This window comes from Homo sapiens, chromosome 20 (assembly GCF_000001405.40).
Source record: "Homo sapiens chromosome 20, GRCh38.p14 Primary Assembly".
NCBI lineage: Eukaryota > Metazoa > Chordata > Mammalia > Primates > Hominidae > Homo > Homo sapiens.
This window is the reverse complement of record NC_000020.11, coordinates 11165758-11191227: the sequence shown is the minus strand read 5'-3', so window position 1 is coordinate 11191227 and position 25470 is coordinate 11165758. Positions and strand designations below refer to the sequence as shown.

The following is a 25470-nucleotide window of genomic DNA, read 5'->3' as shown; positions in this document are numbered from 1 at the left end:
CGGTGCATTTTGCCATGCAGCATCTGAAGTGAACATGCTAAAGCTTTGGTCATGTAATCGCTCTGATGGCTTCCCTTTCTCCCTGACCCCCAAAATAATCCAAACTCCTAGTTACGTCCTACAAGAATCCACCTGAGATGAACTCCACTTTCATATCCATCTCCCCACCACCCAAGACTGCTCCCACCCTTACTCACTGTACTTCAACCCAATGCTGGCCTCCTTTTGTCCCTGCTGGAGAAGTCACTCTTTCCTGGGTCAGTGCCTTCTGCTCTCTCTTTTCTCTGACTGGGAGGTCTTTCCCCGGTTCCTGGCATGGCTGATTCATTCTTATCCTTTAAAATTCAACCCAACTGTTACTTTTCTTACTCACTCTATCCAAAAGAGTCATCTTTGTCTTCACCCTGATAAATTTCTTTAGGGGATATGCCCCAGTATTTAATAGTTTTGATTGTCCCTTTTTAAAGCCAGTTCATTATCTGTCTTCCACGTAGAATGTAAGTGATGTTGAGTGTAGATAATTGTCTGTTGGATCCACTGTATCCGAAGGCCCAGTCTAGCACTGACTAGCTATCTAGTAAGTATTGAACAAATGGCTAATAAATGAATCTATTGATTAAAAGTTTTAGATCAATGTTGTGGATAGTTTTTTGAATTTATGCAAAGTTTCTATGGAAATATAAATTATACTCAGAGAAATGCATCAATCACGGCACTCTTTAGTTTTACAGCTTTGATGCATTTTTCAATTTTCTACAAGAAAAAAGTGAATTACTTTTGTTATTAGAAATAACAGAAATGCAAACATTAATAAAAGGAAACTAAAGAAAACTCCATCCTACTAAAATTTTTGTCTAATTTTCTAAATTACATCCTTGAAATCTGCATGATTACAGTGGAATATGGAAATGTTCCATGTCTAAGATAAATAGGGAAAAGGTGATACACCATCAGAATGTTGGCATTGAAAAAAACTGTTAAAGACTAATTTATCCTTCAAATGGAGCTCTGGAGGAGTTGGTGGGGGTTGGCTGAATAATTAAAACATCATTTAATTTGAAAGATTATGAAGTGACAGAGGTGATAAAATGTGCATGGATGGGGGCTGTGGCATGGGTTGAAATCCTTACCGTGTCTTTGTGGCTTGTAGAATGTCACCTCCGAGTCACAACTTCCTTCTCTGTAAAATAGAGCTCCAAAGTAACTTCTCAGTGGGGTATTTTAAGACTTGGAAATATTTATAAGGACCTGGTAGAGAATATAACACAACCTTGATATTTAAAAATGAAGTATCAACCTATGTGTCATAAGTAGTATTTTTAAAGGAAGAAGTTTCACAATGTAGAAATGTTTTGTATGTTTGCAAAAATAATAAATAGATAAATATAAATCTAGCTTAAGAAAGATCTTGGCTATCACCAAGTTTCTAAGAAAATGTTTTTTTCTCACTGTGTTCAGAATCCTTGCTAAATGTGTAAGCCAATATTTACTACATTATGCTGCAACAACCAACAGCTTCCAAAACCCAGCAACTCCGAGCTACGAAGGTTTACATCAATTACTTTCTTCTTTGCCTCATATTTGGGCTATGGAAGCTGCACATTAACTACAAATCTGCTTGATACACATTCTTCATCCCAGAATCCAAGATGTAGAATCGGCCCTTCTTTGGGACATACCCTTCTGATAGCAAAAGAAAAATGGAGATGATTGAATCATAAATGACTTAAAACTATAGATATGGCATGCATTACTTTGGTCACATTCCACTGATGAAAGCAAGTCACATGGGCAGAGTGATGTTACTGAGCTAAGGAAGTCCTCCCTCCAAGGGAAGTCACTGTAATTCGCATGGCAGCAAGTTGAGGGTTATAATTTTCTCACAAGAGGAGACTGAATAATGGGTATGATACAACAATAGACCACAATGACCTGGTTCTTTTTGCTTCTAAAATTAAAGGGGAAAGAAGAATGTTCTCTAGAGTTATGTATAGACTGATTCCTCGATGTGTAATAAACCAGTGTTTAAAAATAAAACATTGCTTTGCAGAACGAATGGGTTGAGATGTTTAGCATAATGGAAAATGCTGATTTTTAAGTAGCAATTTAAATAGCACAGTCTGGGAATACAGTTTCCAGTGATTGATACGGTTTTAATAGGGCTGGTCAAATAGGTGGATTTAGTGTTAGACTGATGCGTCTGGGAAACACTGATCATCATTCTCCTTAGACAGCAACCAGCTCTCAGAACTGCGGTCAGCATGATTACACCGAACCCTGGGCTAAAGCATTTTCAGTCTCCTTTATTCAAACCACAATATATTGATTAAATATTTGCTTAGGGTTTATTAGATTTGGTCTACCCAGAGTTGTCTGTATTAATAGCCATCAGATTAAATTTATCTTTTCATGCACTCAGTCATCAGCAAACCATGGAAAATTCCTTTTGCTCCCTATATTACTTGCTTTGCCACCATAAAAATCATATAACTTATTTCAGCTCCACAAGTGGTACCTGTCTTATGGGTCCACAATTAAGGCTGACTTTATACCACTTAGAAAGAAATGAAACAAGTAAAAGGGTACAAAGTTTCAGTTATCAATGCTGACAATTGGTGTAGCTGAAGTCAAAGTATAAATATAGTTAATATGCAGTATGTTTTATACTCAGGATTAATAAGTTCTGGAGATCTATTGTAGAGCATGGTGACTACAGTTAATAATAATGTGTTCTTTGCTTGAAAATTGCTAAAAAAAAGTAGATTTAACCAGAAAAAAAAATAAGTATTTGAGAGGATGAATATGTTAATTAGTTTGACTTAATCATTTTACTATGTATTCATATATCAAAACATCAAACATCATGTTGTACACAATACATGTATACATTTTTTATTTGTTAATTATACCTTAATAAAATGGGGGCAGGGGAAGAGAGTACGAAACAAAATGAGTCTTCTTATTCTCATTTTGAAATAAAGAAACTGACATTCCAGGAGCAAAGCCTTGTCTTCTAACCCTGAGTTCATAACAGGAAGACAAGAAAGCTGCCCTTGTCTTCACAAAACCAGTGTGCACCAGTATTACTTGGTATTTCAGTTTCCATGGAATTCCATAGTGGTGGAAATTTAAACAATTTTATTACAGAAAAGTAACAGCTTTTTCAAAGAAAAGAATTAGTCAAGACAGTTTTCCTCTGAGACAGTCAATTTGTGATATTTTATATATTTGTGTGTGTCCATGGTTCCTGGCTTATAACTCCCATAACCCCTGCCATGGTCTTTCATTATAATGTTGGGGCACTTCAGGCCTCAGGAAACAAAATCTGTCTCTTTCTCTCTGACCTTCTTCTGTCCCTCTTTCACCTGCCCAAGGCAGGACTCTAATCTGATTGTGAGTCAAAAGACCCTCGTTCCAGCCAGAGTTCTTCCCCAGACCCTAGAGGAAGGAATGCTACCCAAAGAGGCCAAAGAAGTCTGAACAGACAAGCTTTGCTGGGTTTAAATCATGCCCTTTTTGTCCAATCATGTTTCTACATGGTTGTCAATTATGCCTATGTAATGAAGCCTCCATAAGAACCCAAAAGGACAGAGTTCTGAGAGCTTCTGGATGGCTGGACAAAGGTGGCTGCCCAGGGAGGACATGGAAGCTCCATACCCCTTTTCCCTTACCTCTCCTTACTCATCTCTTCATCTGTGTCCTTTATAATGTTGTTTATAATAAGCCAGTAAATATGTTTCCCTGAGTTCTGTGAGCTTCTCTAACAAATTAATCCAACCCAAAGAGAGGGTTGTGGGAACTTCAACTTGAAGTCAGCCAGTCAGAAGTCTCAAAGGCCTAGATGTGAAACTGGTGTCTAAAGAGGTGAGGGGCAGATAAAAAGGAATGAGATCATGTTTTTTGCAGGGACGTGGATGGTGCTGGAAGCCGTTATCCTCAGCAAACTAACTCAGGAACAGAAACACAAACACTGCATGTTCTCACTTATGAGTGGTAGCTGAACAATGAGAATGCACGGACACAGGGCTGGGGGAACAACACACACTGGGGCCTGTCAGGGGGTGGGGAAATATTTTTCCTAAATATTTTCCTATTTAGGAAAAATAGCTAATGCATGCTGGGCTTAATACCTAGGTGATGGGTTGATAGGTGCAGCAAACCACCATGGCACACATTTACCTATGTAACAAACCTACACATCCTAGACATGTACCTTGGAACTTAAAAATAAAAATTTTTAAAGAGTTGGAGGAAGGCAAGCTTGGAGACAAAGCCCCCACTCTGTGGCATCTGATGTTATCTCTAGGTAGATAGCATTGGAATTGAACTGGGGGACACTCAGCTGGTGTCCACTGCTTGGCTTGTAGAGAAATAAAAACCCACATCTTTGGTTACAGAAGTCTTCTATGTTGATGATTGTTATGGTATGAAATCAGAGGAAACACACAGTTCAAGAGAGTCTTTCCTGAAACACAATCTTAAATTATTTCTGTTGTTATTGATATTGTTGGTTTTCAAGTACACTACTTGTGTGGATAATGCCGTTGAATTAGGCCACGCTGGTTCAAAACCTTAATTAAAAGGGGCAATTATTTAAATAGATGATTGAGAAATAACTGATTTCTTAATAAAGTTTAATAGTGGTTTACTGGCAAATTAATGATTCACTTCAATAAAAACATCCAAGTCAGTTGTGCGTGTGGATATAAACTATGACAGGAAATGGTAAAATGAACTTTACACAGAAGTATGCACTTTCAGGCTAGAACAAGAATAAAGGCATGAAAATACATGTGGAATGTTTGTCTTCAAAAAAATTTTACTTTGCATTCAGTGTGAAGTAATTAAATGCATACAGAAAAGAAGATACCAAAACTACACATAAAAACTAAAGAACTCTCTCTCTCCCTGTCTCCCCATCACTGAACTGCCTTCCCCTAGAATCTCCCGTTTCTCATGGAGACTTCCAGCAATAAGCCGATATGGTAATGTAAGTTAGTGCTTTTATATCAGCTAAAGAGTACTAAAAGAGAGTAGGAAGTAGATACACTTTTTTTATACTTTTCCATTTTTCCAAGTGTTACCATCAAGGTCTAGGAAAACGATGATCAAGAATAAGAGGAAAAAAGAAAACACCTTAAAAAACTGAGAAGTATCCTGAAGAACTTCTGAGTCTCTTGGCACAATAATTAATATTTTTATTTTTTAAATATTTTAGTAGGGATGAATTTAAGCTTGTCTATTCATTCGTGGAAGGAAACTTATTGAGCACTTAATATGTATCAGGTGCTGAGGATGTAAAAGTAAACAACATAAATATATAGTCCCTAGGGCTTCAGATTTCCCCAAAGTTAAACTAGCCAACCATTACATGATGAACAATTTATATTCTAAAAATATGTAGAATAACCATTCATACAATTTATGAATTAATCAAAAATTATTTTTATTAATGATTGCTATGTATGATGCAGTAGATTGATTATAAAAATGATCATTAGAGAAATGCAAATAAAAATAACAATGAGAGAGCACTACACACTAATTTGAATGGCTAAAATCCAATAACTGACAATACCAATTACTGTAAGATTGTGGAGCAGCAGGATTTCTCATTCATTGGTGATATGAATGCAAACTGGTACAACCACTTTGGAAAACTGTTTGACAGTTTCTTACCACTAATTGTGCTCCTAGGTATTTTATCCAGTTGATTTGAAAACATGTCCACTTAAAAGCCTGCATGCGAATGTTTATAACAGCTTTATTCCTAATCTTCCTAAATAGAAAGCAATACGAATGTCCTTCAATAGACGAATGGACAAACAAGCTGTTCTGCATCCTTCATAGGATGGACTAATACTCAGGGATAAAAAGAGTGAGTTATCAAGCCAGGCAAAATCATGGATATATCTTTAAAAGCCTATTGCTAAGTGAAAGAAACCAGGCTAAGTAGGCTATAAATTTATGCTTCTATTAACATGACATTCTAGAAAAGGCAAAACTATAAAGACAGGAAACAGGCTGGTGGTTGTGGGTCATCTGAGTAGGAAGAGGGTTGAATAGGTGAAAATGTGTTTCTGTTTGTTTGTTTGTTTGTTTAGAAAGGTAAAACTATTCTGTATGATAGAGTAATTGTGGACATATAACACTGCATACGTTAAAACTCATAGATCTTTGCAACACAAAGAGTGAACCTTAGTGCATGCAAATAAAAAAATTAGGAGTTAAGGAAATTCCAGAATGGAATTTAGAATGCGGCAAAAGAATCTAACCATATTACAAATGTATGAAACAATCTAACTGAAGGGGATAGGAGAAAAGGTGTCGACCTAAATAATTTTGGAAATGACAGTAAAGGTGAAAAGAACTGCACATAAGTACCGTATTCTACTTGATAAAGCTGTTTCCCATAAGAGTTCAAGTTGACAATTCTGAAACCACTATACATTTATATTGAAATTGAACAATCAAGTGAATTGATAGCAGATGGAAAGTGACAGGTTTCTTAGTGTTGGAGTATGAGGTTACAAATAGCAAAGAGAGGAAGCTGAAATGATCCAGATCATAATCTGCAGTTGGAGATATGAGTAAGAACTCATGTTTAGCTTAATGTAGGTACACAGGGTTGCATATGGAAATATTCAGAGATACAAGGATATGCACAGGTTAGTATACACTCATGCATTTGATCATTCTGTCGGCTGAAAGGGCCTAGCAGCAACAACACTCCAGCAGTAATGACCAAACCCAGGACCCAGCTTTTAGTTTGTAATACTATTCTCTAATACAAGGAACAAGTTTTCCTTGAAGAAATGATTGATTCTAGAACTCAGAAAATATAAAAGAGGAGGCTGAAGGCTCTGTAATGCCAAAAATCAAGGGAATGCTAAAAAATAAAAGTTTTTAAAAATCCCCCACAATAATAGAAGTATGACAAAGGGACACAAGAAGAAATGGAGCATTCCCAATGGCCAAAGCTGGAACAACTTGAGAAAGAAAATAATGAAAATAATATTAATACTGTGAAATTATGACCCAAAGTAGAAAATAAATACTTGTATGTCTATACTGATATAAATAAATAATTAAACAAGCAAGTAAATAAATAAATAAATAGGAAAATAGACAATTCTCCCATGCAGATGAATTACAAATAATTTATTTGGCTACTTCACTTTCAAGGAGGCAGAACATAAGTTTTTACTCTTATTTGTGTTTTGTACAAGGTGACTCCCTTCCAACAATTATAATATGGCAAAGGAGAGGAGAACATCTTTACAGCAGAGAAAGCTGACAAAATTATGCTGCTCAGGTGGACAAGGTCAATATCAAAAGTGATGGCATGCCAATAATATGTACTCTTGTTTTAATGTAATAAGAGCAGCAGTTAACCTCTGTGGTTTTCTTTTCAAAAACTCATAACCTCAATCTGTTTATGAGAAAAGAATTAGACAAATTCCAGTTGAAAAACATTCTGGCCAGGTGCGGTGGCTCATGTCTGTAATCCTAGCACTTTGGGAGGCTGAGGCAGGCGGATCACCTGAGGTCGGGAGTTTGAGACCAGCCTGGCCAACATGATGAAACCCCATCTGTACTAAAAATACAAAAAATAGTCAGGCATGGTGGCGGGTGCCTGTAATCCCAGCTACTCGGGAAGCTGAGGTGGGAGAATCGCTTGAACCCGGGAAATGGAGGTTACAGTGAGCCGAGATTGTACCACTGCACTCCAGCCTGGGTGACAGAGTGAGACTCCATCTCCAAAAACAAACAAGAAAAAAACAACTTCTACAAAATACCTGAGCAGTGCTCTAACAAAAACTGTCAATGTCATCAAAACTTAGAAAAGGCTGAGAAATTGTCACAACCAATAGGAGCCTAACAAGATATAATGACTGAATGTAGTGTATTCTAGATAGGATCCTTGGAGAAAAGTAACATTAGATAAAAATTCAGAAAATTTGAAAAAAGTATGGAATTTACTAGTGATAATACATTTATATTGGTTCTTTAGTTGTGACAAATGCACGATGGTAATATAAGGAGTTAATAATAGGAAAAGTTGGGCTTGGGGTATATGGTTCCCTATTATCTTCATAATTTTTCAGTATATATAAATCTATTCTAAAATAACCCATTTTTTAATCTAAAAAGATTATCTTTTGCAATATGATATCTTGGCTTCTACCTTCAAGTGGTAGGGCCTATTTCCCTTTTCCTTGAATTTGGGCTCATCTTGTGAATTGCTATGATTGCAAAAGTGCTGTTGTGCAAGTTCCAAGCCAGGCCTCAAGACACCTCGCAACTTCTGCTCTGTTTCTTGGAACCCTGTCACTGCTATGTGAATGAGCCTAGGCTGTCCTATTGAAGAATGAGAGATATGGATGACAAACCAATTGCCTCAGCTGTAATCTGTCTAGGTCAGTCTACATGCATCCAGCTGCATTCCAAATAGGTGGAAAAACCTGACTGCAGATGTATGAGTGAATACAGCTAAGAGAATAAAACCCTCATGATCTTTCCATCTACTTAAGAAAATAACAAATCTTATTATTTTAAGCCACTGAGATTTGGGTAGGATTGGTACACAGTCATTACTAATTGATACATATAACAATTTATGTTGTGATTGTACAGCCCACTGTCATTTTTGAAACAGAAACTTCTAGTGCATCTTAACTTCCAGTGTTTTATATAACACGAATGGAAAGAATAACATAAACTGCAGGATGGTTTTCTGTCTTCCTTTGTATTATGTTATATATGCTGACCTATTTAATTCATCAGGCTCATGCCCCTGACTACATCCATATTCAAGCTCACATGAAATCTTCCACTCTTGTTTACAAATATAAACCCAGAATCAAGTAAAATTGGTATATCAGTAATGAAGCTTCATCTTCTTCATTTTTCTATATCCAGGAAAAAATAATGGCATTTAAGAAAAATAATTTTGTATTAGATTATATTGCTGTTCTCAATTATTCATGCCTCCTTGGCCTGTAAGAATATGTACCATCATCTGTTGCTATGTGATTTCTGTGCTTTTCCAAGGGAGGAATGTGCTTTGCTGCCCCCTTCATTTTGAACCTTGTCATGACTTGCTTTGTTCAATGGAATATAAACCGTCTTGATGTGTAAATAGAAGCATTAGAGGATACTGCACAAATGGCTTTCATCTTTTTTCCTTTTCCAAGAGAATAGCAAAGCCAAAAGAGCACTTCTCCTTGACCGTCAGTGCCGGAATGAGAAGAAATACAATGGGACAGTCCCAAGTTAGTTGACATGAAATGTGAGCAAGGCATAAATATTTGTGATTTAAGCCACTAAAATATGAGGATCATTTGATATCTCAGCGATGCTGACTAATACAACTTCTCATTTATCTATAAAATGGTAAATGATTGAGAACAGTTCACAAATCCAAAGTACTAAATTAATCTACATTCAACTGAACTGTACTATTATCTATTAAAGTTATAGAGAAAGTCAGTGAATTGTATTAAAGATGCTGTGTTTGTGTGTATTTATTGTATTATATAATTTATATTGCTTCTTTGGACCACTGAAAATTCTGTTTTTTGAGATTTATTTGTTGACTTATTTACTTAATTATTTGCTTGTTTAAATTATATACAGGTTTCATCACAGTGGAAAACAAGAAGTAAAAAGACAGTGGTGAAATTACTTATACTTTGTAAAAAATAAAGTACAATTAAATTGCTTTGATTTAGTAGTGTATTAGTCCTTTTTCATGCTGCTGATAAACACATACCCAAGGCTGGGCAATTTACAAAAGAAAGAAGTTTAATGGACTTACAGTTCCACGTTGCTGGGGAGACCTCACAACGTGGCAGAAGGCAAGGAGGAGCAAGTCATGTCTTACATGGATGGCAGCAGGCAAAGAGAGAGCTTGTGCAGGGAAACTCCTTCTTATAAAGCCATCAGATCTTGTGAGACTTATTCACTATCACGAGAACAGTATGAGTGAAACCACCCTGATGATTCAATTATCTCCCACTGGGCTCCTCCCACAACATGTGGGAATTATGGGAGCTACAATTCAAGATGAAATTTGGGTGGGGGGCATGGCCAAACCATATCAAGTAGTGATTTTCAGATAGTACAGGGTAAGAAAAAAATAGCTTTCCCATTTTAAGAGCCCTAGATAGTTCTTGAACAATCAATGTTCATATGCAAGTGGCAGCCAGATTTGCTCTCAGCAAATTGGTTGTTTGGAGAGTGGAATTTTTCATGTGGTAACTTACATTTCAATGAATTTATATTCTTCCCAATCTGCTACCCCAGTGCTTACATTCTAGATTCAGAAGAAACTCAGCTTAGTCCAGACATTTTAAGCTGCAAGGGAATTGTTCAATGTGTCCAACTGTGTATTTTTACTCATATCATCTTTAGAACTATCTCCAAGAGAAGCCAACCTGTATTTCCAAACAGAACTGGAGACTATAAAAAAAAAAAGGAAAAATGAGTTAAATGTGGTGGTTATGCTAAAAGAATTATACCAAACTAAGTCACCAAGACTTCTTTGTCAGAGACCTGATCAATATGATTACAAGTTAATGCTAGAGGGAAGAAGAGGGAGTTCTCACCCTGAACTCAGCAATGTGACAGTGGCATGGAAGATGTCAAGGACTGTAGGTGGGAAATAGATGGAAGTCAGCCTGGACTATCCACAAAGCCCTACAATGTCAACAACTCTAGCAATGTGGTCAGCAAGGCTAAAGTCCTTGTGAATTTTTTATTGTTGGGGAACCAGAACCAACATCTAATGTTTCTATCAGGTGTCTTGCCTAATGATGCTCTGCTTTCACTACAGTCTCCAGGGGAGGGGAAACTTGTGATGTGGTTTAAGTTATTATAAACAATGTCTTTTGTAGGTTGTATGAATTCTAGATCACTATCTGATAACTGCACACTTCCCAGAATTCATAGTCAGATCAGTGGCCCAGAATGAACTCATATTGAATTTTGGAGGAAGATGACTTGAGAGAAACATGGGATTCTTCTTCCATTGATGGTAAGAGCCTAACATCTCCTTGTTGTGTAGGGACACACTCAGAGATGCAGTATATAAAGAGAAGTCTTAGAAAGGCAAGACCTAAACAGAGTATTTGAACAAAGGCAGGGTGATTTGACACTTTCCTGGAAAGTCTAAAAGCTATAGTAGATAGGCCACTTTATAATACTCTTGACCAATAAATAACCTTTACATCTGCATTAGAAATGTGTTAGCCTTGAGAGCCTGTCTGGGAATGGAGTATATTTCTTCTAATATTAAGTTTCCTTAATTCAGATCCTCAAAACAATTTGAAACTTTAGCATTGACTTGGATGATTGCATGGACAACCCAGGGTGACCAGTGGGAAAACCAAAATTATTTCCAGGATATATGAGCATCCTGACAATGCTTTCCTTGTACTATATCTTATGGGTTTATGCTCAGTGGCTAAGCAATACATGAAGACAGGAAATGTTTGGATTAAGAACATTCGGAAGCCACAAGTTACAATTTGATTTTGATACATCCCTACCTCTCTAAATATGTCAAAATAAAGACTAATAAATGTAAGGACATATATGAGTGTTCAGAAACCTCTAAAGATTATATATTTAATATTGTTTTTTGAGAATTACAAATATTAAATTATCCTAAAAAATATTTTGGAGTCATCTCTACTTTGCTGGTGTAATTAGCATGGCATTCATCCACCCATGTGATCCTCTAGCAGTGAGACAGGCTTATCTTGGCCACTAGTGGGACACTTTCTGTGAATTTTATCTCCATAAATCACTGAGCTTATGTTTTCTAAACTGTAAAATAAGGCTAAATATTCCAAGTGATTCCAGAAGTTCTTAGAGAAAGACGGGAGCGGTAACCCATGATGTATAAGGATAGTCAAGTTGGTTTCTGTAACATTCTGAATGAATTTCTAAACCAGAGGGGAAAAGTAAGGTGATAGGCTACCTGAGAGAAAGAGGCAGTCAAGACTGAGTCACAATGACTCAGAGAAGGGAATGAGCTCAGTCCAATCACATAATACTTGCTATTGTGCCCTGGCTTAGTTAGAAGCCAGATTCAGGAAGCACATTCCATTAGACTAAATAAAGCTTCGATCATGTGTAAAATTTCCAACTTGAATAAGCAGCCATCCTATCACTCATCAGGCTAGGTGCATTTAATGGGTGTAATTTCTTCCTCATATTTCTATGCATTTATTGTTTCATTTTTATTATAGGAACTTGGGCTTCTTATTAGACTTATTATTTTCTATTAAACCTAGACTTAAGTAAATACTGTTCTACAGGGTGTACATGCAAATATGTTTCCTTTAGATTGCCAAAAGAATAGGGCAATCTGATTCAACTTAACTATGAGATTAGAAGAAAGGAAAAGTGAAAAAAAAAAAACAACTATTAAGCACCAAGGCAATATAACCTGAGAGTGTATAAAAATTATTTTTGGGGAATTGTAAAACATTAATTCCTCAATTTCAAAGGTCCTGATTTTATAGATTTGAGATAGAATTCAGAAAAATGTATTTTAAGAAGGCTTTATTATATTTTATTTTAATATAGCTGAGCATTGCCTTGGGCCTTGGTAAACTAAGTTAACTTTTCCTTAAATTACTTAGAGGAAAAGGAAAGAAGATTAAATATGAATGTTATTTTTACTCTATTAAGGCCAATTTTCTGGAAAACAATATCAGAAACTGTCTCTGCAACATTTTAATTTCAAGATTGAATTGAATTTACCAGAGCCGCTGAGCTGTACAACTTCTGAAGTTTGGAGCATCCAGGTATCAGCTGGCTGCTAGCCAGAGCTTCAGAGCAAGTGTTCATTAAGCATGATTAAAGTGAGCTGTCATTTTATATATATTTTGGCAGATTTTTCAAGACAAAAATATGCCACAAAAAATACCTAGAAAATATGCCTTAAAGTGGAGACATAGCCCCTGCATAATTGGGGATGAGAAGTGGCTTATTTAGTTTTTTTCGGGGGAATAGTAAAGCCAAAGATGTTTCTATTACAAATTATTCAGAACTTCCCCAGATGTAGACTCAGATGTAGACCTTGAGACAAAGATTCAAGAAGAAATTGTTTCAGAGGTGATTTTAGGAAATACTAGTAGGAGAGGTGGGAAGTCACACTAGCAAGGGAAGATAATGAACAGGGGTGCTTTGTCAAGCAAGTCATCACTGTGGACAACTGGAGCTCAGTCTTACTGGGGAACTCTGGAAGCCTGTGGAACACGTGCATCTGGATTAGCTTCCCCAAGGGAGAGAGAGCTGGGGTTTTTATACACTGACTTCTTCAGTCATTGACTAAATCCTGCTCCAAAGGATCATTAATTTCCTGGGACTTCCAGCCTTCCTCCTGCATGGGCAAACAGGCTTCGGGATCCAGGGCAAGTCCTCAGGCAAAGAAGTAAGCTCTCTGGCAGTTGGGATTCGGGCAAACATATACCAAAATGGTAAAGACCAAGGATGTGGGAGAAGCCCTGAAAACATCAAGTAGGGGATTTGGGAAACTTAAGTCTTTGAAACCAGCTACTCTTCCAGTATAAAGAATAATGGAAGAAAAAACTCGCTAGGCAAGAGCCAAGGCTTATTACATTTAAAATGTCTCTTCTATGAGGAAACTAAGCCAGGTTAAAGGAGAGAAAACTAGTCGGCTGCCCTGATCACCAATCCATAGAGTATATTAAATTATCACAGTGATAAATTGGATTAATGGAACCACTTCACTTAGATTTCAACTTGAGAGTCCATCCATAATCGGTAAAATGTAAAACTTTCCTTAATCCCCAAAGTAGAGAATGCCCTCAGTGGAAGTTTTAAAAGCACTTCTTGCTCACATGCCTTAGCCCTATTGAAGTTTTCTGCTCCATCTAAGTGTAGGTTTCATGGTACAATCAAAGTGAGCAGAAATTCTAAAACTGAATGACACATGGCAAAAAGCTGTTCACCTGGCATTTGGCATTTATTTTCTAAATGTAAATGGTTTGATATGCCTCTTACTAAGAAATTGTTCAGGCCTGGCGTGGTGGCTCACGCCTGTAATCCCAACACTTTGGGAGGCCAAGACGGGCGGATTGCCTGCGGTCAGGAGCTCGAGACCAGTCCGACCAACATGGTGAAACCCCAACTCTACTAAAAATACAAAAAAATTAGCCGGGTGTGGAGGCATGTGCCTGTAATCCCAGCAACTGAGGAGGCTGAGGCAGGGGAATTGTTTGATCCAGGGAGGTGGAGGTTGCAGTGAACCAAGATTGTGCCACCGCACTCTAGCCTGGGTGATAGAGCGAGACTCTGTCTCAAAAAAAAAAAAAAAAAAAGAAAGAAAAGAAAAAGAGAAGAGAAGATAAAGAAAATAAAAGAGAAAAAAAGGAAAGAAAAGAAAAGGGAAATTGTTCGGTTAAGAAAACATATATGTAAGAAATTATGAATTTATGTTAAACATAAATTTTTAAAAATTAATTGAAAATTTTCCTTCTGCCTTCACAAAGTAAATGATGATCGAATGTGTAAACAGCATCATCTTGATGGGATGCCAGGTTTTTAGCCCATAGAGAGAAATCTCATGTGGCTTCATATGGCACTTTGGAACAACCACCAAATTTTGTTGACAAAGTGAGTAATAATATAGTATTATTTAAATATGCCTAGTACCTTCTCCTAAAATATTGAAGGAGTGTCCACAGATGCACAAACTACAGCTTTGGAAAGAATTAAAACTATCATTTTTTCCATGGTGGTCAAACAATTACAGTACTTAAAAACTTGATACCCTAAATCTATATGAATGGAATAATACATAAATTTTTTTTAACTGGAGGTTTGCATATTCTTCAGATGGAGACACTGAAAAATGTAACATGCCAGATTTAAAGTTCATTCTGCCTCTGGTCAGTTCTGAAATTCAGAAGACTTGCTCTTGTGTGCTCTGTGGATCTGAGCAAGCTGCATTTAAGTTTGACACACACAGACACACATACAAGGTACGACTGTTTAGTTGAGACTTTAAATTCAATTTATTCCCACTTCCACTGTTTATCCTCCAGCAAAATTTACAAATTGTAGAAGAGTTCCCTGGCTACATTTGTGCTGGGAATGCTTTCTAAAGAATTTAGCTTAAATCTACCAGCTTGGCACTAGGACCATTAATATAAAAAGATATTCTAAAGTAAGTGTCAATTTCTCAAGGCTTTGTTTTTAGGTTATGTTTTCTGTTACACATAAGTGACTGTTTGCTGTCATTGAAAACTATTGTTAAAAATGTCTTTTCTAAGGGAAAAAGAATCTGGCTACCAACACTGTAATTTGAATATGGGTATAATTTTGCAGCCAGGGCTTATACTGCTGATTTGGGCACTTTCCATATTGTTTTATTTTTGAGACTCAAAAGCCAAAAATATGAGCTGTGAAATCCTAAAAATCACCACTGGCTATTGAAACCTTTATGTCTCTTAATGATAAGACCATACTGAAAGTGTCCAAATTAAAAAAAAATGAGATGATAAACTGAGAATAGTATGAGTTGAAAGAGATGCTGATTAAAAGACACAATAGAAGAAAATTGTATGTATACCCTCCACATTTACATTACACTCTTTCTGTGTCTCTTTGGCTATAAAGTGAAGAGTGACAAGGGAAATGCAGAGGGGAGTAAGAATGAGAAAAGAGGGATAGGAAAATAAAACAAGAAGGACAGGCACCATTTGAGGGTTCATAGTAATGGAGATAGTGACAGAGCAAGTGTCTTGGTCTTAGTTCCTTCTTCTATAACATGCCAATGTTGACAAGGGTGGTCTCTACATACTCAAATAACATTAAAGTTTTTTAGTTCTTACTTTTAATGTAAGAATCTGACTTTAGCCACCAGACAATAAAACATGTCAGAATGACTGCTTCTCATATCTTGGAATAAAAATAGCTCCTTGAAACATGATTTGTGAGAACAAGTTGTCTCCTAGTTTTTTGCGTTTTTTTTTTCTACACAAAGACCAACTTATCAGGCCATTCAAGCTTCTGAAAGCACTTGAGCAAAACTACCAACTGGTAGAAACAAGATCAAGATCAACCAGATTACTGGAGAGCTCTTTGCACAAGGAGCTTTGTGGGCCATGATGCGAGTCGACCCTGTCACTGAGCCCGGAAGTGCAGGTATCAACTGCACAGAGGCAATCAATTTCCAGGTCGAGTTTGGTAGGGCACTGCCCAGAAGTTGAGATGAATCTTGCCTTATGGTGGAGATGTTAGGCCCCACAGAGATAACAAACACCAGCCACTGGTCAGATACTTTAGTGGTAGAACTGATGTCAGTGCAAATATAGAGTCATGCCTGACTTCTGCTTCCAGCTCAGAGTCAAGCTGGTGCATCTTACACTGCTTTGGACAGAGGCAGTGTGATGCTTCCAGCCACTTTCATTTGGAGGTGAGAGTCCATTTTAGAGTAGTAAAGACTTTGCCAATGGATTTCCATTATGTAGGTTTTTAAAGGACTTGGCACAGGGCCACATCAGCTTTTAGTCCCCACATAACTGCATGAGAAATAACGTCCATCCTGGCTGCTTCATACAGATCACTTGCCTGTCACAAGGAACGTGAGCCCTGCATGGCCACAGAACTGGCCTTCCCTCAGTTAACTGAGTTATATCAGATACATCGCCTAACTAAGGACCTACGTGGTTCTGCCGCCAAAGTTTAGATGTCATAATCACCATTTGTTAAGGGGCTTCTAACTCCAGTTTGTCCTGAAGACAAATAGGCTAAGAATATAGAGTCATTCTTTCAGCAATAAGTCACCAAAATGCCAATCTAATTCTGAAAACAAAGGAAATAAATTTTCCTTAAGTTCAAAAACATTTTACCAAACTGGTTAACTAGTCATAGACATTCTTAGAGTCTTGAGATCGGGATCCAAAACAAGTCATGCAAATTAAGCATAAAGCTTGGAAAATTCTCACACATGGAGATCACATTCATAAATTGCCAAGACGTCAATCAAGACAGAGGTGCTAATGTCCCAAAAGCTATGCTTATGATGGCTTCTGGTCACTATCACAGCCCATGTTTCCAAAGGTAACCGCAACCCTGAATTCTCACACCATGAGGTCATTTTGCCTGCTTTTGAACTTCATGCAAATGGAAACACATGTTATATATTCTTATGATTGGGTACTTCTGTTCAACATTATGTTTGTGAAATTCACCCATGTCATTGGATAGTTGTAGTACGTTCAGTGTCATCACTACATAGTTTACCATTGTATGAATATACCACAATTTCTTTATCCAAGAAACTGTTGAAAAGTGTCAGAGTAGCCTCAGGTTTCTGGCTATTGGAATAAATCTTCTATGAACATTCTTGTATGGTGTACAAATATATGCATTTCTGAGGGGATATTTAATCCTTGTAGTAGAATTACTAGTTTTTGGTGAATTCATATGTTCACCTGTAGCAAACATTCCCCAATTTCCAAAGGATCTGTATCAATTTACATTCCACAAACAGCATGTAAGACATTGGAAGGCTCATCAATACTTGATATTGTTTGTCTTTTTCATTTTATCCAGTCAGCTGGGAATACCATCAAGCCACATTTTTATATGGGTAAAATGTATACAGGTTAAGTGAATGTAGGCAAAACACTGATCAAAATAATAGAGTAATTAAAAACATTTAAGCAGCATGTAGAATCATTCATTCACTTATTTATTTGTTTAATAAGTACAATCATTCAAGAGAGATTTTATAAAAGATGAACAAGTAAGAACATAAATTTCAAAATTAATATTTAAAGAGATATTTTTATGCAGTTGTAATTATTTTTTACCTGAACACTGTTGCTATATCCTCCTCAGATGGATGCAAAGTATCTCCCAAACTTCCAGATCCAGGATGACTTCACCATTTTATTTTTCAGCAATAATAATAATAATGATATCAACAAAAACAACTAAAGTAACAGCAACAATCATTTAGGTAAGTGGGCTCATTGCCTTTTACAACATGCTTCTATTCATATTTTTTACTTGATTTTCACAAATATGAGATAAAAGTAGATTTTACTCACTTCAGTGAACAATGGAGAGGATGGAAGTTCTGAGATAAGAAAGGACTTACACAGATGATTGGAACAAATAATAAAAGATGCAATGGGCCTGGGATTTGGACCAAGGACCTTGGATTTCTCAGCATCATAATGCTTTTTTTTTTTTAACCCTCAAAACAGGCCTGCTAATAAAGACACTTTATACTGAGAGAGATTCTTTGTACAATAGCCACTTCGTTTTCATTTTGTTTAATCATTACTTTAAAGACAAAATGAAGTTGTATTTGTCCCATTTCACAAATGGAGAAAGACAAGCCCCAAGGGAATTTAAGAATGTCCATGTTTTTATGGCCAGTTACCCAGTGAGAGAAGCACATAGAAAAATCCTAACCTACTGATTAATTTCTTAAGTTGTGTCTGCTAAAACAGAAGTGCTCAGGAGCCAGGGAGCACAGGCAGCCATAAATATCAGGATGCTCTTGGTGGACTATTAATAATAATTATTGCTATAGTTTTAGAATTGTGCATTTCTTTGGGTTTGAACTTATGATTTCTTCAATATAGTCAAAGAAAAATATATGTCTATAATACTAGCATTATACACCTTTAAGGCTCTGATATGGATTCATATTCAAAATTCTAGGAGGTTCTCTGATTTCAATTAAGCAAATACATCTTAATCATTGCCCCAGTTTGTTCTCTAGTCCACATCCCTTAGTAGATAAAAATGTAACTCTAATACCAATTAATAAATGACCACTTTTTCAGTCCAGGCTTCCCAAATCCAGAGACAAAAATACAGATCGCCAATGTTTTTTTTTTGTTTGTTTTCTTCTTTTTTTTTTTTTTGGTAACAAAAAAATTCAACTTCAGGTAGTTTAAAATGGGATTCAGGCCTTTTTAGTTTCCCCTGGATTTTGTTGTTTAGGGTAGGTTGGGCAGCAGGAAAAGAGTTTGGGAAATATATCAATGAGTCCTTCTCTCTAAGAACAAAAAGACAAAACAAAACAAACAAAAAAACAAACAAACAAAAACCGGAGAAACAAAAAGAAAAAAAAACCTCAGTGTTCTCTGATTTTAAGGCCAGACAACAACCAAAAAGCTTTATTGTTTCTTTGTGAATCTTTCCAACTGCAGTGGAAATCTCAAGAGGAGATTTAGCTTAAACCAGTTAAGCCGTTGCATCCAATATTTTACAGAGTCCAAGTCTGGACTCAATGTCTGGACACGTGAACATGTCTAGTTAGAGGTGTTTGGGTTAATGCACATTCTTCATGTGGTTTGGATCACTTCTGTGGCCAAACTCTACTCCTTGCCACTCCACAGTGGCAAGTCTTGAAATTCACCAGACAGGTCATAAAATCCTCAGGACAATTGAAGGATAAAGAATATAAAAATAATTCAGAGTTATACATTCTGATGAATTGTATTTTATTACTTATAAATATGTCAAAATGAAAAAAAAAATGTATTGGTGGTCTCATCACTGTTTTAGGCTACCTAATTTGAAATCAAATAAAAAGAAGAAAGCCTAAAAAACATAGTGAGATTCTGTCGCTACAAAAGCAAACAAACAAACAAACAAACAAACTAATAAAATAACTGGACAGTGCATTAATGTAGTCCTAGCTACTCAGGAGGCTGAGGTAGGAGGATTGCTTGAGCCTAGGTGTTGAGGTTATAGTAAGCCATGATTATGCCAATGAACTCCAGCCTGGGCACAGAGCAAGTCCCTATCTTAAAAAAGAAGAAAAGAAAGAAAAAAGAAGAAGGAGAAGGAAGCAACTTGAAGTATTTGACCATAGAGTAGTTGAACATTAATTTTTAAAAGAATTATTTGTAGACAAGATAAATTTCCTGTACATTGGGCTATTTTGTACATTTAAAATAGGATTTGGATTATCCAAACCTAATGTATATGCAGCTTTTACAAAAATTATGTAACATAAATTTATTCTGGATCTTACAAAAATAAATTCACTTATATTTTACTTAAGTCATAAAGTAAAGCTCCAATGAGTTACAAATGTAACAAAACTTGTTCCTGGTCCTAAATATGTTTGGAAAGCAGGAGAAAGCAAAAATAGTTTTACTCTGTTGTTTTTACAAGAAAAATAACTCGATATGAATTCAGATAAATTTCTCATATTTGGGTTCTGAAATAATGAATTCCTCATTATCTATAAATATGCAATATATCTGTTGAAGACCAGAGAGGACAAATCGATAAATATAAAGTTGAATAAAGCAATATACTGGGTAGAGATCCCACAAGAAGAAACCAAATGTCTGTAGCATCTGACAGAGCATGATTAGGCAGGAAAAGGCATTTCATTTGGGACATTCTAGAAAAATGCAATCTTTGCATTGCTTAGATTCCTTAGAAATGTACCCACCCCATCCCCCAAAAAAGCTTGAGAACAAACTGTGATCATGTTTTAGAAATGTTCCTTGAAGAAGCAGTCATTTAGTTTGGAAAGAAGTCATAAGTGGCACTTGGTCCCGTGTGCATCAAAACACATGGAATCAGCTAAATTAAGCATAAGAACTGTGTAGACTTATGTTTTTATCTATGTGGGTGGTTTTTTTGGTATGGGATGGGCATGGGAAGAAGGACGGGGGAAAGAAAATGAGCAAGGAGAAATTCTATTCCTAAAAGGAGATAGTCTAAGCCAAGCAAAGGAAAGAAAACAAGGTTGACATCCAAAGGAACACATTAAGCATGTCAAAAGAAGTAATAAGATTGACTCTAAAAGTAGGGGAAATATAGAGTGTTTGGGAATTGGCTTTGCTTCTGTGAAGTGATATTTGTGTTAGAAAAAGCCAGGCAAAAGTCATGAGAGTCAAAATTATTACATGTGAAAGGAAATGGGTAACAATGGGCTTAGAGAATTCAGGAGAAGGGAGGTTTGGTGGTTAATTTCAGGAACTAGAAGACATAAAAGAAAACATATGAGATATTTCACAGAAAAGGAAATAATGTAGCTTCCAGCCAATGTAGATAAAAAGATTGGCAAACCTCCCTTCTTTCACTTCTTAGTTTAGACTACTTTGTCAACATTGCCTAGAATGGCCATCTTATAAAAAATTTGTACTCACCCACCTATGTTTCTTATACCCCTATCCCATCCTAATGTTACCCCATAATACAACATATTCTCATATACTATATTAGTTACTCATTTATTTTGTTTATTGAATGACACTATTCCCCTATCTACCATATAAGCCCACTGAAAGCAAATAGATGTTTGTTCAATGATGTATCTCAAGCATCTACAATTGCACCTGGCACAGAGCAGGCACTGGAAAAGCATTTGTTGAATGCATGAAAGAATAAAAAACACAATATTCAAAGAGGAAAGTTTGCAGGCAGAACTTAAACTGTGAGATTTTTCATTATAAAATAGGTGCAGTTAGTATTGATACAGAAAGGAAAGACACCCAACATTACTTCTGCTTTTAGAACCAAACTAGTTTATAGGAACTTCACAAACATTAGAGAAAAATTGGAAAAAAAAGTGTCATAGTGAAAGAGTATGAGAAATGTGATTGAGTGCCGTGACAACTAGAGGTTGAATTTAAGAATTTGTCTTTGTGGTAGATGTTCCAAACTGCATAGATATCTAATATCTCCCCAAATACTATTGCTTGAGTATCCAACCTGTGATACAGCCTCATCAAATTCATGAAACTCCTGATAAACAACTTCCATTAATTGGTGTGGCAAAAATATAGTGACATTTAATCCTGGAAAAGTTTAGTTTTCATCTGTTGAGTTACTTCCTTAGGCTCCTTAAATCTTACAAGACTGCTAATATAAGTCTGTATTTAACACTGACATTTACACCACTTCTCAGTCATCAGCAACCAACATATCAGTGAAACAAGAATGTTAATGCATGATCTTTGTAAACTAGAATGGAGGAATTTGATGCATATGTCATTCTTGTCTTCCAGAAGCTCAGGGCAGGTATCCCACCCATATCTTCTCAACATTCACAGACTTCTTATTGTGAGAACCTACCTCTATCAGCTTAAGTATGTTCTCTGGTAGGAGGAGGTTGCCCTATACACTCTAGTAGTACCAAAAAGTTAGCTGCCCAGGTGAAGCCTTCACTAATAATGAACAAGAGTTGGAAGATAAATGTCCCACTTCCTTCCCCTTGGGTGGTACAATTTTAAGATGTGCACTGAAGATTATCCCATAAGTCCTTGGTGGAATTATGTGCCAATCATTGACAGTGGTAAACTTGGCAATGTACTTTGAATTGCTTGTCTCCCCTCCCCAGTCTCACGTGAACATTTTTCTACCAGTGCTTCCTGGAATCACATCCTTACACTTAAATCTTCATCTCATGGTCTCATGGTCTAGAGAATCCCTACCTAAAGCAGTCTTATAGCCTATGTATGATGATAATACAACATATCTCAAAAGTGAACAACACCAGCAATTAAATGTTAGACTGTGTGTCAGGAGCTGACTGCCATAGGAGATAAATTTGGCTGAAGATGACAGACATACTTTGGATTTTAGAGAGGAAGTGAGATATTTTGCCAGATTGTGAGAAGTATAGTGGATTTTCAGCTGGATATAAGAGGTGAGTGATGTTAGGAATCAGGAAAAGAGCACAGAGTGTTTGTGAAATTGGGAGTTGGGTGAGAAGGGACAGGTTTTGTTCCAGAACAAGTTTGATAAAAATTGGCCAGATACCTATCAGCAAGCAGAAGATGCCATCATAAAGTAAGACCAACCAAACATTTAGAAAAAATGATTCCCCTACTCCTATGCCCTGGAGTAAGATCTCTAAGAATCACAATTTGTATATAGCAGATGCTGTTACCATCCCCACTTGGATTCCCTTTCCTGACTCATGTATCCATCCCCCTGCTTCTATTGGTTACTAATGGCTCTCAGCTGCCCACTTCTCTGAAGAAATATCCTTGGCCAAAAGGGAGTGTCCTTACCTAAGAGATTGCACATGCCCTGTTCACTGGCAGCCTACATTACAACTGGTGACTAATTGACATGAATGACAAAGGGTACAGAATGCTGGCCCCTAAACCTCTAGGTCATGCAATTTATATTCTAGACCTCCACCTTCTGCTATAGAAGCAGGCAAAATGACACATGTGTGGTATCTTCCACTGCCTTACCCTGCTTCACTCATTGCCGTCTTACAAAAGCTCATCCTCATTAAGTCATGTGCAGTCATGTGCACCCAAATCTGTCTCAGGCTCTGCTTCCAGAGAAGCTCATCCAAGACCCCACATGTACAACAGGAGTGGACCTTCTTCATAAGCTGACAGGGAAAGGCATTATAACTCATTTAGTCCTTCCCAGACCTTCCTTGAGTCTCTGATGAAGACAAGTGAGGTCTTTCCAACTTCCTGAAGACACCCATTCAGTCACCCACAGACTTTCTCAGGATCTGCTGCAAATCTAAGCCCAAATGCATCACCTAAAGTGGCCCCTTTCATTGAAGGGCCAGCAGGCCACTAACTGATGAGGTGGACGTGACCTCAGGCAGAAACAAATCTCCAATAATAGTAGCACAAAGACATTGGAACTGTCCTTCAGGCCAAACTGCTCCCCCATGCACAGTGGAAAGAGTGAGCAGGTAACCTTCTGAGAGGCCTAAAATTGGATCCTTCAGGGAGGCTTGGGACGAAAGAATCATAATGCTTTTTATATACCAAATCTCAGGATCAGTTGGAGGGATTGATGTGTGGGGGGCCCTTGTTCCAGGTCTTGAGTGTATTGTCTGCAACCTCAGTTAAACTAAAAACAAAGCAAAATAAAGTGCAGTCCCGCCGTGCCTAATACTCCCCAGATGACTTTAAATGGGACTATTAGCAGAACATGATGTCTTTCTTTCTTTCTTGTTTTTTTTTTTCTTTTAAAGAGGCATTCTTTTTAAAACTCATTGTGACATTGCAGCTCCTATTGCTACTATGTGGTGTAATGAGGGTCTCTCTTCTTCTGCCACCATGTGGTTTGTGTTGAATGAACAAATGTTTCAACATTAGCCTAAGTAGACTTAAGCAGAAAGTTTATTTGTAGTTCAGATAGACGTGCATGTTTCTTTCATGCATTTCTAACCCAAAAGCAATGGTTTGGACTCCTGAGTGCTAGAACATATCTAAGACCTCAGCACAGAGCAATACACCGGTTTCTTATGAAGCAATCAAAGAACAGTGTATTGTACCTCATGACCAAGCAATTCCTCTCTTAGGAATACACCCAGCAGAAATGCAGATATATGTTATCAAAAGACATATGAGTGTTCATAGCAGCATGATTTGTAAGAGCCTCAAACTGGAAACTACCCAAATGCTAATCAACATTAAATTGTGACATACACATACAATGAAGTACTATACACAACTAAGAATGAACAATCTCTGTTACACATTGCCATATGAATGAATTTCAAAACATAATATCAATAGAAGACAGAAACAAATATGCATAAAAATAAGCGAAATCTAGCTTGTAATATTGCAAGTCAGGATAATGGGAGTTTACCCTTAAGAGCATGGGAGATGGTCACTAGAAGGGAGCATGCCAGCTGGCACCTGGAGGCACCTTTAATGTTCTGTTTATTGATTTGACTGCTGGTTACATGGACACATTCACTTTGGAAAAAATCATCAAACTGTATAGGTAAAATTTTTGCACCTCTCTGCATGTTATTCTTCAGAAAAAGATTTAAGAGAATAAGCTTACTTAACTGAACTGAATGATCTGTTATTTGGGGTCATTCAGATTTATCTTTCTTCCATGAATGTCACTACTGAAACGCCGAGAGATTAAACCAAGTATGGAGTATTAGCAGGAAACCAAGTACGGAGTATTAGCAGGAAGTCCACATTGAGAAGCACTGGTGAACCAACATAAATTATCTTGATACATGAAATTCAGGACAAAATATAACACCAGTTGTATTTCGGTTTTTGGCTTTTGTTTCCAGGGAGAACTTTACCTTGTTAGGTGTTTTAGAAATATAAGAAAATTCTTTAGATTATATTAAATTATAGAATTGTATATTGAGGGTGGACTTGGAGAATAATTAATATAGTCCATGCATTTTGCAAATAAGAAAACTGACCTCAAGAGGTTAAATAATTGGCCCAAGGTCACATGTGTGGTTAGTAGCAGCCCTGGGAGGAGGTCCAAGGTCCTGATTTCTTTTTCCGGAGACCACACAGCCTCCTTATTTTCTAAGAAAGTCCATGAATACATTTAAATGGTCTGCTACAGAATTTTCAAAGATCAACTCATTTAGTCCTGTTGGTACAATGTATAGTCTGTGAACTGGCTCTACTTCCTCTGCTACAATCTGTCAACAATCAACAAGTCCATAGACTGGCATTTCTGCTTCAACTTAAT

At 36.8% G+C, this 25470-nt stretch overlaps 1 long non-coding RNA gene across 1 annotated transcript; it reads left to right on the top strand.

Moving 5' to 3' along the window:
• Nucleotides 1-12774: 12774 nt before the first annotated feature.
• LOC105372528 (uncharacterized) lies at nt 12775-17976 on the top strand. The gene is made up of 3 exons (XR_937260.2): nt 12775-12818; nt 14529-14652; nt 17887-17976. It is a non-coding gene; the product is annotated as an uncharacterized LOC105372528 (long non-coding RNA).
• The last annotated feature ends 7494 nt before the right edge of the window (nt 17977-25470 follow it).